This window comes from Homo sapiens, chromosome 12, assembly GCF_000001405.40.
Source record: "Homo sapiens chromosome 12, GRCh38.p14 Primary Assembly".
Taxonomy (NCBI): domain Eukaryota; kingdom Metazoa; phylum Chordata; class Mammalia; order Primates; family Hominidae; genus Homo; species Homo sapiens.
In genome coordinates, this window is record NC_000012.12 from 112,078,541 (window position 1) to 112,092,904 (window position 14,364).

The 14,364-nt window shown below is 41.6% G+C and overlaps 1 protein-coding gene across 6 annotated transcripts in view; it reads right to left on the reverse strand.

Moving 5' to 3' along the window:
* The window catches only part of NAA25 (N-alpha-acetyltransferase 25, NatB auxiliary subunit), an 82,095-nt gene that overhangs the window by 51,852 nt on the left and 15,879 nt on the right, over nt 1-14,364 (reverse strand). For 5 of the 6 annotated variants that reach the window (XR_944730.4, XR_243023.5, XR_944731.4 and 2 more), the window contains exons 3-6: nt 12,186-12,324; nt 9,143-9,261; nt 2,520-2,594; nt 94-201 (exon numbers count right to left, since the gene is read on the reverse strand). Coding sequence is in view for 3 of the 6 variants with exons in the window: in NM_024953.4 (NP_079229.2) it covers nt 94-201; nt 2,520-2,594; nt 9,143-9,261; nt 12,186-12,324 (441 nt within the window). In the remaining 3 variants the exon portion in view is untranslated. Of the gene's footprint in view, nt 1-93; nt 202-2,519; nt 2,595-9,142; nt 9,262-12,185; nt 12,325-14,364 lie in introns of those variants that run through there. The other variant, XM_047429557.1, reaches the window with a different exon arrangement.

A 14,364-nucleotide genomic window follows, 5' to 3' on the forward strand; every position in this document is an offset into this window, starting at 1 on the left:
ACTGGAACAAAACAACAGTTCATAGTATTATAACATAATATTGTAGCACTAGCAAAAAAATGAAAACACAAAAGTAAGGCTTAAAATACTCACTTCAGCCTCAGCTTCTATCTTGTCCTCTTTCACCATTTTTTCGACCATTCTCTCAGCAAGGGGCAGAAACATTGTTTTTGAGAGGTTTTCATCCTGTGCCGATATAGACTGAAAGAAGAAAAATAATGTTTCATTCTAATTCTCCCCTGCTTGCACTATTGATATTAACATTACTGTTAATTGGGCACATAATTATCAATCCACCATGTCAAATATCAGACCTAATATGAATTCCCTGCCAAGGAGGTACATTACGGAGCAGTTTGTTTTACAAAAGATTTCTTTGCTAAAGATTCATTATCCTATGTGTTCTTGAAATACTGAGCTTCCACAATACAACCTAGCATTTAAGTCGGTTATTTATACATTTTTCTAGAAGAATGTAAAGAGGGAGCATGCCTATGCTGTTTATTATTTATGAGTATTATCAGGTATTTGAAGAGGAAAGCCTTCCAGGTATCTTTGAGATGTTCACATACTAGAAGAGAAATGCCAATTCCTTTCATTACACAGTTTACTAGTAGCTAGTTACCTTAAATTGGTAACAACAATTAACACATGAAATTAATAAAGTTAATAACACCAGATTCTGCTCACAGCTCACTTAACCCTTGTAAACAACCTTTCAAGGTAGATATTATGCTTATTTTACAAAGAAACTAAGGTTAGGCCAGGCGTGGTGGCTCATGACTGTAAACTTAACACTCCAGGAGGCTGGGGCAGGTGGATCCCTTGAGGCCAGAAATTTTGAGACCAGCCTGGCCAACATGGCAAAACCCCCGTCTCTACTGAAAAATAATTTAAAAAATTAGCTAGGTGTGTGTGGTGGTGCATGCTTATAATCCTAGCTACTTGGGAGGCTGAGACATGAGAATCGCTTGAACCTAGGAGGTGCAGTAAGCTGAGGTCATGCCACTGCACTCCAGCTTGGACAACAGAAAAAAAAAAAAACTAAGGTTAAGAAATTCCCCAGACAGCTTTACCAGACATGCGGTAAAGCTAATGTATGAAGGCAGACCTGTCTGACCCCATAACATCTGTTCTTAAACACTACTTTTAAATCCTTCCTCCCCATCCTCTCCTATACAGAATCTCACTTTGGTCCCTGGGAGAAAAGTGTCTCCTTTCTGCAAAAGAGCAAACTGAGGCTCAGAAAGGAGAAGTGATAAAAGAAGGCCACCCAGTTCAATGAGCCATTAACTAATCAGCAATATTGTCTTAAAAGCAAACCTCAAGTTGTAATATCAAACATTTCAAGGCTCATGCTTGATCAAGCAACCCAGCAATAGATTAGAGATTCAGGGGAAATACAGTCCATGCTACCCACAAATAAACTGATATACCAACTCATAAAGAATACTCAAGGGCCAGGCGCGGTGGCTCATGCCTGTAATCCCAGCACATTGGGAGGCCGAGGCGGGCGGATCACGAGGTCAGGAGATCGAGACCATCCTGGCTAACATGGTGAAACCCCATCTCTACTAAAAATACAAAAAAATTAGCCGGGCATGGTAGCAGATGCTTGTAGTCCCAGCTACTCAGGAGGCTGAGGCAGGAGAATGGCGTAAACCTGGGAGGTGGGGCTTGCAGTGAGCTGAGATCGCGTCACTGCACTCCAGCCTGGGTTAGAGCGAGACTCTGTCTCAAAAAAAAAAAAAAAAAAAAAACCCAAAAAACTCAAAACCCCTAACTTAAGTCAATTGACAACACAAAGTCCCTGTTTGACATGCTGCAACACATTACACAAAATGTTCACAGTCAGATACAGAGGCTCATGCCTGTAATCCCAGCACTTTGGGAGGCTGAGGCAGAAGGATTGCTTGAGGCCAGGAGTTCAAGACCAGCCTGGTCAAAAGAGTGAGACCCTGTCTCTACAACATTTTTTTGAGACAGAGTCTCGCTCTATCGCCAGGCTAGAGTGCAGTGACATGATCTCGGCTCACTGAAACCTCCGCCTCCTGGGTTCAAGCGACCCTCCTGCCTCAGCCTCCAGAGTAGCTGGGATTACAGGCACATGCCACCATGCCCAGCTAATTTTTATATTTTTAGTAGAGATGGGGTTTCACTATGTTGGTCAGGATGGTCTCGATTTCCTGACCTCGTGATCCACCCACCTTGGCCTCCCAAAGTGCTGGGATTACAGGCGTGAGCCACCACACCTGACCAAAAAATAAATTTTTTTTAATTAGCCAGGCAAGGTGGTGTGCACCTGTAGTCCCAGCTACTTGGGAGGTTGAGGTAGAGGGATTGCTTGAGCCTAGGAGGTCAAGGCAGCAGTGAGCTATGATTGCACCACTGCACTCCTGCCTGGGTGACAGCGTGACCCTGTCTCAAACAAAAAAAACCAGTTCAGAAGACACACTGAGGACAATAACTATATAAAAAATAAAACCAAACCTCAATCCCATTCTGAATGCCATACTCACTTGCATAATTAAGCTCATCACAGACCAAAAGTAGTAGGGATTTTTGGGGACAATCTTATATAGAGCCATGCCAGCCTAAAAGAGAACCATAAATATTTTATTTAGAAAACACCATACAGAAGGGGATTAATGATCTAGATACACGACAAAAAGTTTCTTGGGAGAACAGCAATATATTTACATATCCCAGTTAGTGTAAATTCCTAGTGACTTGATGGCTTTAGCAACAGCAGTAATCACAAAGGTGAATTTTCATGTTATGAGTGATACTTTACTTTTTGAACCAGAATTTACTAAAATTAAAGTCCAACATTTCCAGAATATGCTGCAATCCAATATAGTTCTAGGAGACTACAAAGCAAACACAAAATTTGGCTTGTAAGTGTACATCAATAAACTTTACTTAAGATACCATACTAACCAGTTATTAGCAAAAACAAATAAACATGCCCAGAGAATATACTTAAACTTCAATATCAGAAAAGATTACCATGCCATAATTCAAAAATTCTTCTTAGCTTAGGAAAATAATATGGTTCCTTCAAGATTCCAATAATTAGAACTGAAATCTTTCATTATGAAATGTATAATATGCAAATACTTAAAAGCAAGAACATGCTTTTAAAAAAGAATAGACCTATTCAAGCATAATTGAGACTCTATCCATAATTAGCCAACTAGTAATTGATGCTAAAAACTCCATCAGGTAATTTTCATATGTTTTTTAATCTTTTGCCTACTGCCAATCTAATTCAAAAATTACATGGAGGTCCTATGAAGTAGAAGAAACTATCTATTCCTGACAAAGATTCAAAGATCGCGTCCCTGTCCCAAAGGCATTTAAAAGCGGGGGAGAAAACAAATACATAAATGACTGAAATGTATTTAGCAATAAAAATAAATGTCCTGGGCCAGGCGCAATGGCTCATGCCTGTAATCCCATCACTTTGGGAGGCCGAGGCTGGCAGATCATCTGAGGTCAGGAGTTCGAGACTAGCTGAGCCAACATGGAGAAACCCCATCTCTACTAAAAATACAAAAATTAGCTGGGCGTGGCAGCAGGGACCTGTAATCCAAGCTACTTGGGAGGCTAAGACAGAATCGCTTGAACCCGGGAGGCAGAGGTTGCAGTGAGCAGAGATCGTGCCACTGCACTCTAGCCTGGGCAACAGAGTAAGACTTTGTCTCCAAAAAATAAATAAATAAAAATAAAAAATAAATGTCCTAGGCCAGCCATGATGATTCATGACTGTAATCCCAACACTTTGGGAGGTTGAGACAGGAGGATCATTTGAGCCCAAGGAGATTGAGACCAGCCTGGGCAACATTGTAAAACCTTACACACACACATATATATGTATGTTAACCAGGGTGGTGGCAAGCACCTGTGGTCCCAGCTACTGGCAAGAGGCTGAGGTGGGAAGATCACCTAAGCCCAGGGAGGTCAAGGCTACAGTGAGCTATGATCACACTACTGCACTCCAGCCTGGGCAACAAATTAAAATCAAATCTGTCTCAAAATCAAAATAATAAAACTAAATATAAAAATAAATGTCCTATATAAAACACCATCCTAGGGTATTTCCAAGGAAGGCAAAATTGTTCATTTTCTTACCTCTTCTTTCTTTAAGGGAAAGTAGAGAGGAGAACATTATCATTAAAGCCCCTCCAAAGTAGCCATCTTTCAGATGACTTTGAAGGTCAAACATAACATGGTGGCAGGGGGCGGGGGGTGGGGGGTGCGGGGTGTGGTAACGATACATATAAAACTACAAATATTTGAGGTGAATGGGTAAATGTATCAACGCGAAGTAGGAGAAAAATGAGTCTGAACAAAAAACATTCAAGAAAGTAAAGGGATGTATGCTGATAAAACAAGTAGGATGTCTGGCTAAAACAATTAAGAGTAGCAGGAAAAGTGTTGAAAGGTAGACCAAGGTACTTTTGTTGTAAGGTATTAAAAAAGGAGCCTATACAGAATAGAGAAGTGATATTTATAAATCTATACTCTTCTAGGAACAGTATCTCAGCAGTACTGTGAAGAGACAAAATAGGAAGAAAGAAAAGGTGAGGTGATGAGGCACAAAACCAGGATGGGGTAGATCAAATAGAAAAGAAACCTGGAAAGATACAGCAGAGGCTGGGCACCGTGGCTCACGCCTGTAATCCCAACACTTTGAGAGGCCAAGGCAGGAAGATCACCTGAGGTCAGGAGTTCGAGACCAACTTGGCCAATAAAGTTAAGGTAAAAGATAAAAGTAATGGTGAAACCCCAACTCTACTAAAAATATGAAAATTAACTGGGCGTGGTGGTGGGTGCCTGTAATCTCAGCTGCTCAGGGAGCTGAGGCAGGAGAATCGCTTGAACCCAGGAGGTGGAGGTTGCAGTGGGCCGGAATTGCACCACTGCAATTCAGCTGGTGCTGAATTGCACTCCAGCCTGGGCGACAAGAGTGAAACCCCATCTCAAAGAAAAAAAAAAGATACAGCAGCGGCAGAATAAACATGATCTAGAGACGACAAGGACATACAGGATAGGAGAGTCTAAGATGGCTTGAGGCACCTGCTTCTAACACTGGGGTACGTATACTCCACAGGTATAAAATGAAAAATGTTAGGAAATTCCATTGATCCCTGGGAAGATTTTACAATCAAAAGAAAAAATAATAATTTTGTCTTTGAGTTAGAAAACCGGCTGGGTACAGTGGCTCATGCCTGTAATCCCTGCACTTTGGGAAGCCAAGGCAGGAGGACTGCTTGAGCCCAGCAATTCAAGACCAGCCTGGGAAACATAGCGAAATCCCAACTCTACAAAAAATGAATAAATGCTTAAAAATAAATAAAAGTTAGGAAATTCATTTTACTTGAGAATATGGGAAAACATTTTTACAATGACATACAGAGATAAAAATATATAACATTAGAATATGAATTAATATAAAATGCAAGGCAAAAATTTCATGTCCATACCCTATGATCTTGCAGGCTCTGATAATCTGCTGAAACAAAATTTTTGATGACAGACAAGTTTAAAAACATGGATCTAAGTTGGTGACTCAGAATGAGAATGTCATTTACAGGAAAAGAAAAGCCTTATCACCATATGAATAACTAGCTACTCTTCATTTATGGTGGTTTCAAAATCACCAGCCAGAGATGTTATTTGGGGCAGCAGAAGCTCTTAAGTTTCCCTCCCTCCTACCTCCACGAGTTTATACAAATCATTTATTTGCTTAACAAATTATTGTGCAGATGCTATTCTAGGCAATGGAAAATCAACAATGAACAAATCAAACAAAAACCTTCATCCATATGAAACATGACATTAAATGTGTGAAATACCTATTACCTCAGACTGACATTCCACACTCAAAATAAACATACTTAAGCTAAGAAATTGTAACTTCCTTAAGCAGCAATAATGACAGTATAAAAATTAGCCAGGCGTGGGCGGGGCACAGTGGCTCACGCCTGTAATCCCAGCACTTTGGGAGGCCAAGGTGGGCGGACCATGAGGTCAAGAGATCGAGACCAGCCTGGCCAGCATGGTGAAACCCCATCTCTACTATAAATACAAAAAATTAGCTGGGCTTAGTGGCGCGTGCCTGTAGTCCCAGCTACTCGGGAGGCTGAGACAGGAGGATCTCCTCTTGAACCTGGGAGGTGGAGGTTGCAGTGAGCCAAGATCACACCACTGCACTCCAGCCTGGAGACAGAGCGAGACTCCATATCAAATAAATAAATAAATAAAAATTAGCCAGGTGCAGTGGCTCACGCCTGTAATCCCAATATTTTGGGAGGCTGAGGCAGGTAGATCACTCGAGGTCAGGAGTTCGAGACCAGCCCGGCCAACATGGTGAAACCCCATCTCTATTAAAAATACAAAAATTAGGTGGGTGCAGTGGCTCACGCCTGTAATCCCAGCACTTTGGGAGGCTGAGGCAGGTGGGTCAAGAGGTGAGGAGTTCGAGACCAGCCTGACCAACATGGTGAAACCCCATCTCTACTAAAAATATAAAAATTAGCTAGGCATGGTGGTGTGCACCTGTAATCCCAGCTATTCAGGAGGCTGAGGCAGGAGAATCGCTTGAACCCAGGAGGCGGAGGTTGCAGTGAGCCAAGATCACACCACTGCACTCCAGCCTGGGCGACAGAGCAAGACTATATCACACACACAAAAAAATTAGCCAAGTGTGGTGGCAGGCACCTGCAATCCCAGCTACTCGGGAGGCAGAGGCAGGAGAATCTCTTGAACCTGGGAGGCAGAGTTTGCAGTAAGCTGAGATCACGCCACAGCACTCCAGCCTGGGTGACAGAGAGAGTCTGTCTATCTCAAAAAAAGAAAAAGAAAAAAGAAAGAAAAGAAGTATATCTTTTTTGAGGACAACATGAGAAGAATGGGAAGAGAAGGTCATTTTACAACCTGCTTGTCTCAATTAACATATACTAGGAACATCTTTATATGTCAACCATATAAAGACACCCAGTATTATTTGGAGAGATGTGGGAATGTATTTTATGTACCATAGGGATGAACTATAACTTCTTTTACTCTATCCTTATGAATGAATATTTAATATACTTTGCTTAAAACATAATCTTACAAATAAAAATGATATTAAGGATTTATATGTATATATGTTAGCATTGCCAATTTTAAAAAATATACCCATTTTATGGCTGGGCACAGTGGCTCACGCCTGTAATCCCAGCATTTTGGGAGGCAGAGGCGAGCGGATCATGAGGTCAGGAGTTCGAGACCAGCCTGGCCAACATGGTGAAACCCCGTCTCTACTAAAAATACAAAAATTAGCCGGGTGTGGTGACATGTGCCTGTAGTCCCAGTACTTGAGAGGCTGAGGCAGAAGAATCGCTTGAACCCGGGAGGTGGAGGTTGCAGTGAGACGAGATCATACCACTGGATTCCACCCTGGGTGACAGAGTGAGACTGTCTCAAAAAAAAAAAAAAAAAAAAAAAAAAAAAAAAAAAAAATATATATATATATATATATATACACACACACACACACACACACACACACACCCATAACCATTTTACATTTTTAAAAATTATAATGTCTAAATACCTTTCAGTAAATAAATTAACAAAATGTTATTAAATAATTACATTGGGACCCCTCAAAAAATTTCTCCAGCTGGGCGCACTGGCTCACATCTGTAATCCCAGCATTTTGGGAGCCCAAGGTGGGTGGATCACTTGAGGTGAGGAATTTGAGACCAGCCTGGCCAACATGGTAAAACCTCGCCTCTACTAAAAACACAAAAATTAGCCAGGTATGGTGGTGTGTACCTGTAATCCCAGCTACTCGGGAGGCTGAGGCAGGAGAATCGCTTCAACCTGGGAGGCCAGGTTGCAGTGAGCCGAGATCGTGCCACTGCACTCCAGCCTGGGCAACAGAGCAAGACTCCATCACAAAAAAGAAAAAAGAAGAAAAAAACTTCTCCTATGTTAAAACTTGCATAAACTTAAAATATAGAGACTGATTTTAAGAAAGAGTTTATATTAATATAGTATCTGCCACCCTGCCCAAATTATCTATTGTTATAACTTGATATTTAATGTAAAGAATAAGATAAAAATCCAAAAAATTTTGCCTTCAGAAGATATTATACCCACAAAGAAAGCATTTCTAAAAAAGTACTAGCTTGGGCTGGGTGTGGTGGCTCATGCCTGTAATCCCACCACTTTGAGAGGCCGAGGCGGGCAGATCACCTGAGGTCGGGAGTTTGAGACCAGCCTGACCAACATGGAGAAACCCTGTCTCTATTAAAAATACAAAATTAGCCAGGAGTGGTGGCGCAAGCATGTAATCCCAACTACTCAGGAGGCTGAGGCAGAATAGCTTGAACCCAGGAGGCAGAGGTTGCAGTGAGCCAAGATCGCACCATTGCACTCCAGCCTGGGCAACAACAGCAAAACTCCATCTCCAAAAAAAAAAAAAAAAAAAAATACTAGCTTAACATCAGAGCCATTTATGGAATTAATAATGCTGATTATATTTCTCTGAGATGTTAGCTTTACCCGCAACCTAATTCAAATGTGTTCAAATGAGGCTCCTTCAGATGTATGTAAAGAATATCTACAATATGGTAGCTGCCAAATAAGCTGCCTCAAACCAAAAAACAAAAAACAAAAAATAAATTTAAAAAGAAACATCCCAGGCAACAAGGATTTTCCCCCTGGTGGACTTAAAAATCTTAGCAGGCTATCAACAGTTTAAATTTACAAATTAGATGTAAACTTTAAAGTTACTCTTTCCATAGTTGTTCATTTTTTGCTCTGGTATATCTGCTCATTTTCTGAAAATTTAACAGCAATCTGATGCAGTAGGACAATCTGAAGCTGAATTACCAAAACCAAACAAAACATAACATCAGGCCACAAAAGAACAATCAACTTATTTCCAAATAAAACATTTAAAGATCTTGAATAATAGTTCAACTTTAAACACATAAGGAAAACAACTGACTGACCTCCACACAGAAAAATCCATAAATTCAATTCTACACACACACATACCCAGTGCAGTTAAATCACAAGAAAGAGACTTTTGCCTCTAATAGTAAATCCCATAGCCCAGTAGGTTTGGGGATCAAATTACCTGTTGCATTTTCTTGTATTCACCCACTCTGGCATAGGCCATGAAGAGGTGAGAGTGATACTCCTCACTATTGGGAACTTTCTTCACAGCTGCCTCATAAAGTTTTGTAACTAACTCCGCTAAGATAAAGAGAAATAAGATTTAAGTTATACTTCAAGAACATTCTAATGGCATTTAATGTTCTTCCTATTTGGCAGAAATAGATGTCTCCTATCATTATAGAAGAAGTATCTGCTTTGCCTCATCCAATCATCATTCATCTCTTGGTTAGGTGGTGTTTAAATGAAGCATGGAATAGGTCAAGCCTTCTCATAGCATTTACAACATATAAGACCTTATAGGATCTGGCCTCTGTCTCCTCTTTCCCTCAGCACTTTATCATGTAGCCACAAACTATTTGTAGTTCCACCAGATTCTCTGGGATGTATCATACATAACTCTATGCCTCTAAACTCTTCGCTCTGCCTGAATTCTCCTTTTCTCTCTTTTATCTTAGTGAACATCAGCCAAGACCCAATTCAAATGTAAGCTGAACTGTAAGACTTTCTCTGAACACCATCTCTGCTTCTCCACTGCAATTTGACCACTGCCTCCCTCTGCCATCTTGGAATCTTATATAAGTAAGTATATTGTAGTTTTTTTTTTTTTTTTTTTTTTTTTTGGAGATAGGTTCTCACTCTGTCGCCCAGGCTGGAGTGCAATGGCACAATCACGGCTCACTGCAGCCTCGACCTTTCAAGCTCAGGTAATTCTCCGACCTCAGCCTCCCAAGTAGCTGTTCTGCAGGCACATACCACCACAACTGGCTTATTTTTTATATAGACAGTGTTTCGCCATGTTGCCCAGGCTGTACTATAGCATTTATTAACACATAATGTAGTATACTGTCTAGTGATCTATTTCCCCTTATAGACAATGAGTGCCATGACAACAGAAAGTGCTTTTTTTTTTTTTTTGGAGACAGAGTTTTGCTCGTTACCCAGGCTGGATTGCAATGGTGCGATCTCGGCTCACTGAAACCTCTGCCTCCTGGGTTCGAGTGATTCTCCTGCCTCAGCCTCCCAAGTAACTGGGATTACAGGCATGCATCACCACACCCGGCTAATTTTGCATTTTTAGTAGAGATGGGGTTTCTCCATGTTGGTCAGGCTAGTCTCGAACTCCCGACCTCAGGTAATCCACCCACCTCAGCCTCCCAAAGTGCTGGGATTACAGGCGTGAGCCACTGCGCCCGGCTGAAAGTGCATTTTTTATCTTTGACTCTGATAGAATACCAGTCATAGAGAAACATGCCACCAATATTTGTGGAGTAAATGATTTTTTTTAAAACACTGGAGAAGAATCCATATCCCTAAATCAACACAATCTGTAAATACTCAGATATAATACCTCAACTCTTAGGTTTTATCTTTTGTAAAAATTAAAAACAAAATTGAAGCTGAGCACAGTGCCTCGTGCCTATAATCCCAGCACTTTGGGAGGCTGAGGCAGGCGGATTGCTTGAGCCTAAGAGTCCAAACTAGCCTGGACAACACAGCAAAATCCTGTCTCAAAAGAAATTGGCAAAAATGATTAAGGTTACAAATACCAAATGTTACAATCTGAGCTATTTGAATGAATGAAGAGAGAAAGAATACCAAGTGTTGACAAGCATGTAAGCAATCAGAACTCAAAAACTGCTATTCTATTTATAAAAGAAGTTGACATTATCTTGCTTTAAGCTAAACATACACTTACCCCATGACTTGAAAATTCTACTCCTAGATATTGTAATGTAACCCAGTGAAATATTTTGTGGTAGTGAAAATGGATTAACTATAGCCACTTGGCTATTAGATGAAAAATGCAAGTCATAGAATATACATAGTACAGATGCACTAACAAAAGTTTAAAATTAAGCAAAACTAATAATGTATTACTAAGAGAAATAAATGTAATAAACATTTAAAGGGAAGCAAGAGAATAAAAAATATTCAGGATAGCGAGTAACTCTTGGTAGGTAAAAGGAGAATTAAGATTGATTGAGGAGGCCAGGTGCACTTGGCTCACGGCTGTAATCCCAGCTCTTTGGGAGGCCAAGGCAAGTGGATCACTTGAGGTAAGGAGTTTGAGACCAGCCCGGCCAACATGGTGAAACCCGTCTCTACTAAAAATACAAAAATTAGCTGGGGATGGTGGTGCATGCCTGTAATCCCAGCTACCTGGGAAGCCGAGGCAGGAGAGGATGCATGAACTCAGAAGGTGGAAGTTTCGATTCTCCTGCCTCAGCTTCCCAAGTAGCTGGGATTACAGGCGTGCACCACCACACCCAGTTAATTTTTGTATTTTTAGTAGAGACAAGGTTTCCCTATGTTGGCCGGGCTGTCTCTAACTCCTGACCTCAAATGATCTGCCAGCCTCGGCCATCCAAAGTGCTGGGATTACAAGTTTTAGCCACTACGCCTGGCAACGCTCCATTTCTTAAATTAGGTGGTAGGTTCATGAGTTTTCATTATTACACATCAAATGTACTTATATGTTACATAAACAAGATTATTGTATAATATGTACTATGAAAAATATGTATGATTTCACAATAAAATATTTAAGAAATTAACAATAAAAACCTTTATTTCAGAAGAAACAATGGACTACTTAGGATATGCTCTGAAGTAATCTGCCAGGGGAAAGGGTAAAAACAAAATAAAATGGGCCATGTGTTAATTGCTGAAGGTGGATAATGAGAACAATGGGGTTTATTATTCTATTCTATTTTTGTCTGCTTGAAATTTTCCATATTAAAAAGTGAAAATAAGGGTGAAGCCTCCATTTAGCAGATCAAAATATCACAAATGAAGTCACTTTAATTCTCATTCCAATTCAAGGATCCTAATGCATGTAAACTATCCTTTCTATCTACAGTTCTCGCAAACCCTGGCTAATGCGTTATTCTACCTACTGTATCCATTCAAATCATGAGTGAGAAATCAGACAAGGGCAAACAGTCAGAAATATCCAAAATTTTCAGCTCAAGTTTAAAAACAATGAAAAGAAAGAAACATACGTCGGTGCATCTCCCGGTAAAGGATAGTCAGTGCCTGCAGTGAGTTGTCATCTGTGGGTTCAAGGGCTGCCACCTCCTGTGCAAGAGTAAAGGCTTCCTCTTGCTTTCCAGTTCTCTGTAAACCAATTGCCTTTAAAACCTGATAGCAACAAAAGAAAAATCAGTTTTTAAAAAGACAGAAAAGGAAATATGAACCAAAGAAAGCCGATCTGAAAGAACAAGTATTAAGTTATGCCTAGGTTGCTGATATACTAGTTTCAGGCTGGGTGCGGCGGCTCACATCTGTAATCCCGGCACTTTGGGAGGCCAAGACAGGCACATCACTTGAGCCCAGGAGTTCAAGACCAGCCTGGGCAACGTGGTGAGACTCCATCTCTACAAAAAATAATAAAAAATTAGCTGGGTATGGTGGTGTGCACCCAGCTACTTGACAGGTTGAGATGGGAGGACTCCTCGAGCCCGGGAGGTTGATCACGTCACAGCACTCCAGCGTGGGTGACAGAAGGAGATCCTGTCTCGAAAAAAAAAAAAAAAGTGAACAATAGGACTGGCATGGTGCACTCATGCGTATAACACTTTGGGAGACTAAGGCAGGAGGATCACTTGAGCCCAGAACTTTGAGACCAGCCTAGGCAACACAGTGAGACCTCATCTCTAGAAAAAATTTGAAGGAAAAAAATAGGCCAGGTGCAATGGCTCACGAATGTAACCCCAGCACTTTGGAAGGCCGAGGCGGGAGGATTGCTTGAGCCCACAAATTCAAGACTAGCCTAGGTAGGCAACGTGGTGAGATCCCATTTTTACAAAAAGTTTAAATATTAGCCAGGTGTGGTGGTGCACATCTGTGGTCCCAGCTACTCGAGAGGCTGAGGTAGGAGGATCGCTTGAGTCCGGGGGGTCAAAGCTGCAGTGAGCTGTGATCATGCCTAGGCAACTGCAGTCCAGCCTAGGCAACAGGGTGAGAGAGACCTTATCTCCAAAAAAAAAAAAAGCCAGGCATGGTGGTACACCCTGTAGTCCCAGCTATGCAGGAGGCTGAGATGAGAGGATCATTTGAGCCTAGAAGGCCAAGGCTGTAGTGAGTCATGATTGTGCTATTGCACTCCAGGCTGGGTGATAGAGACCTTGTCTCAAAAAAAGAAGTGCACAATATTGCTTAAAAGGATTCTGTGAAAATAAATTAGGTAAGTAATATGCAAAGAAATAAACAGCTAGCTTTTACTGAAATATCACAGCCAGGCACAGTGGCTCACGCCTATAATCCCAGCACTTTGGGAGGCCAAGGCAGGCGGATCAGGAGGTCAGGAGATTGAGACCATCCTGGCTAACACGGTGAAACCCCGTCTCTACTAAAAATACAAAAAAATTAGCCGGGCGTGGTAGGACGCGCCTGTAGTCCCAGCTACTCAGGAGGCTGAGGCAGGAGAATTGCTTGAACCCAGGAGGCAGAGGTTGCAGTGAGCCAATATCGTGCCACTGCACTCTAGCCTGGGCAACACAGCAAGACTCCATCTCAAAAAAGAAAAAAAAAACGAAAAAAGAAATACCACTTGTGGCATGTAAGTGACTATGGAAATAACTGACCTATAAAGTACCGAGAAAAAAACACAAATAGTCAGTTGGGCGCAGTAGCTCATGCCTGTAACCCCAGCACTCTGGGAGGCTGAGGCAGGAGGATCACCTGAGGTCGGGAGTTTGAGACCAGCCCGACCAACATGGGGAAACCCCATCTCTACTAAAAAATATACAAAATTAGCTGGGTGTGGTGGCGCATGCCTGTAATCTCAACTACGCAGGAGGCTAAAGCAGGAGAATCACTTGAATCTGGGAGGCAGAGGTTGCAGTACCTGAGATCAAGCCACTGCACTCCAGCCTGGGCAACAAGAGTGAAACTCCATCTCAAAAACAAAAGACACTAATAGTCACTAAAGAGATTTAACATCCTTTCTCCCCCCCCTTTTTTTTTTTTTGAGACGGAGTCTCACTCTGTCACCTGGGCTAGAGTGCAATGGTGCGATCTCCGCTCACTGCAACCTCCACCTCCTGGGTTCAAGTGATTCTGCTGCCTCAGCCTACTGAGTAGCTGGGATTACAGGCGCACGCCACCATGCCAGGCTAATTTTTGTATTTTTAGTAGAGACAGGGTTTCACCATGTTGGTCAGGCTGGTCTCAAACTCC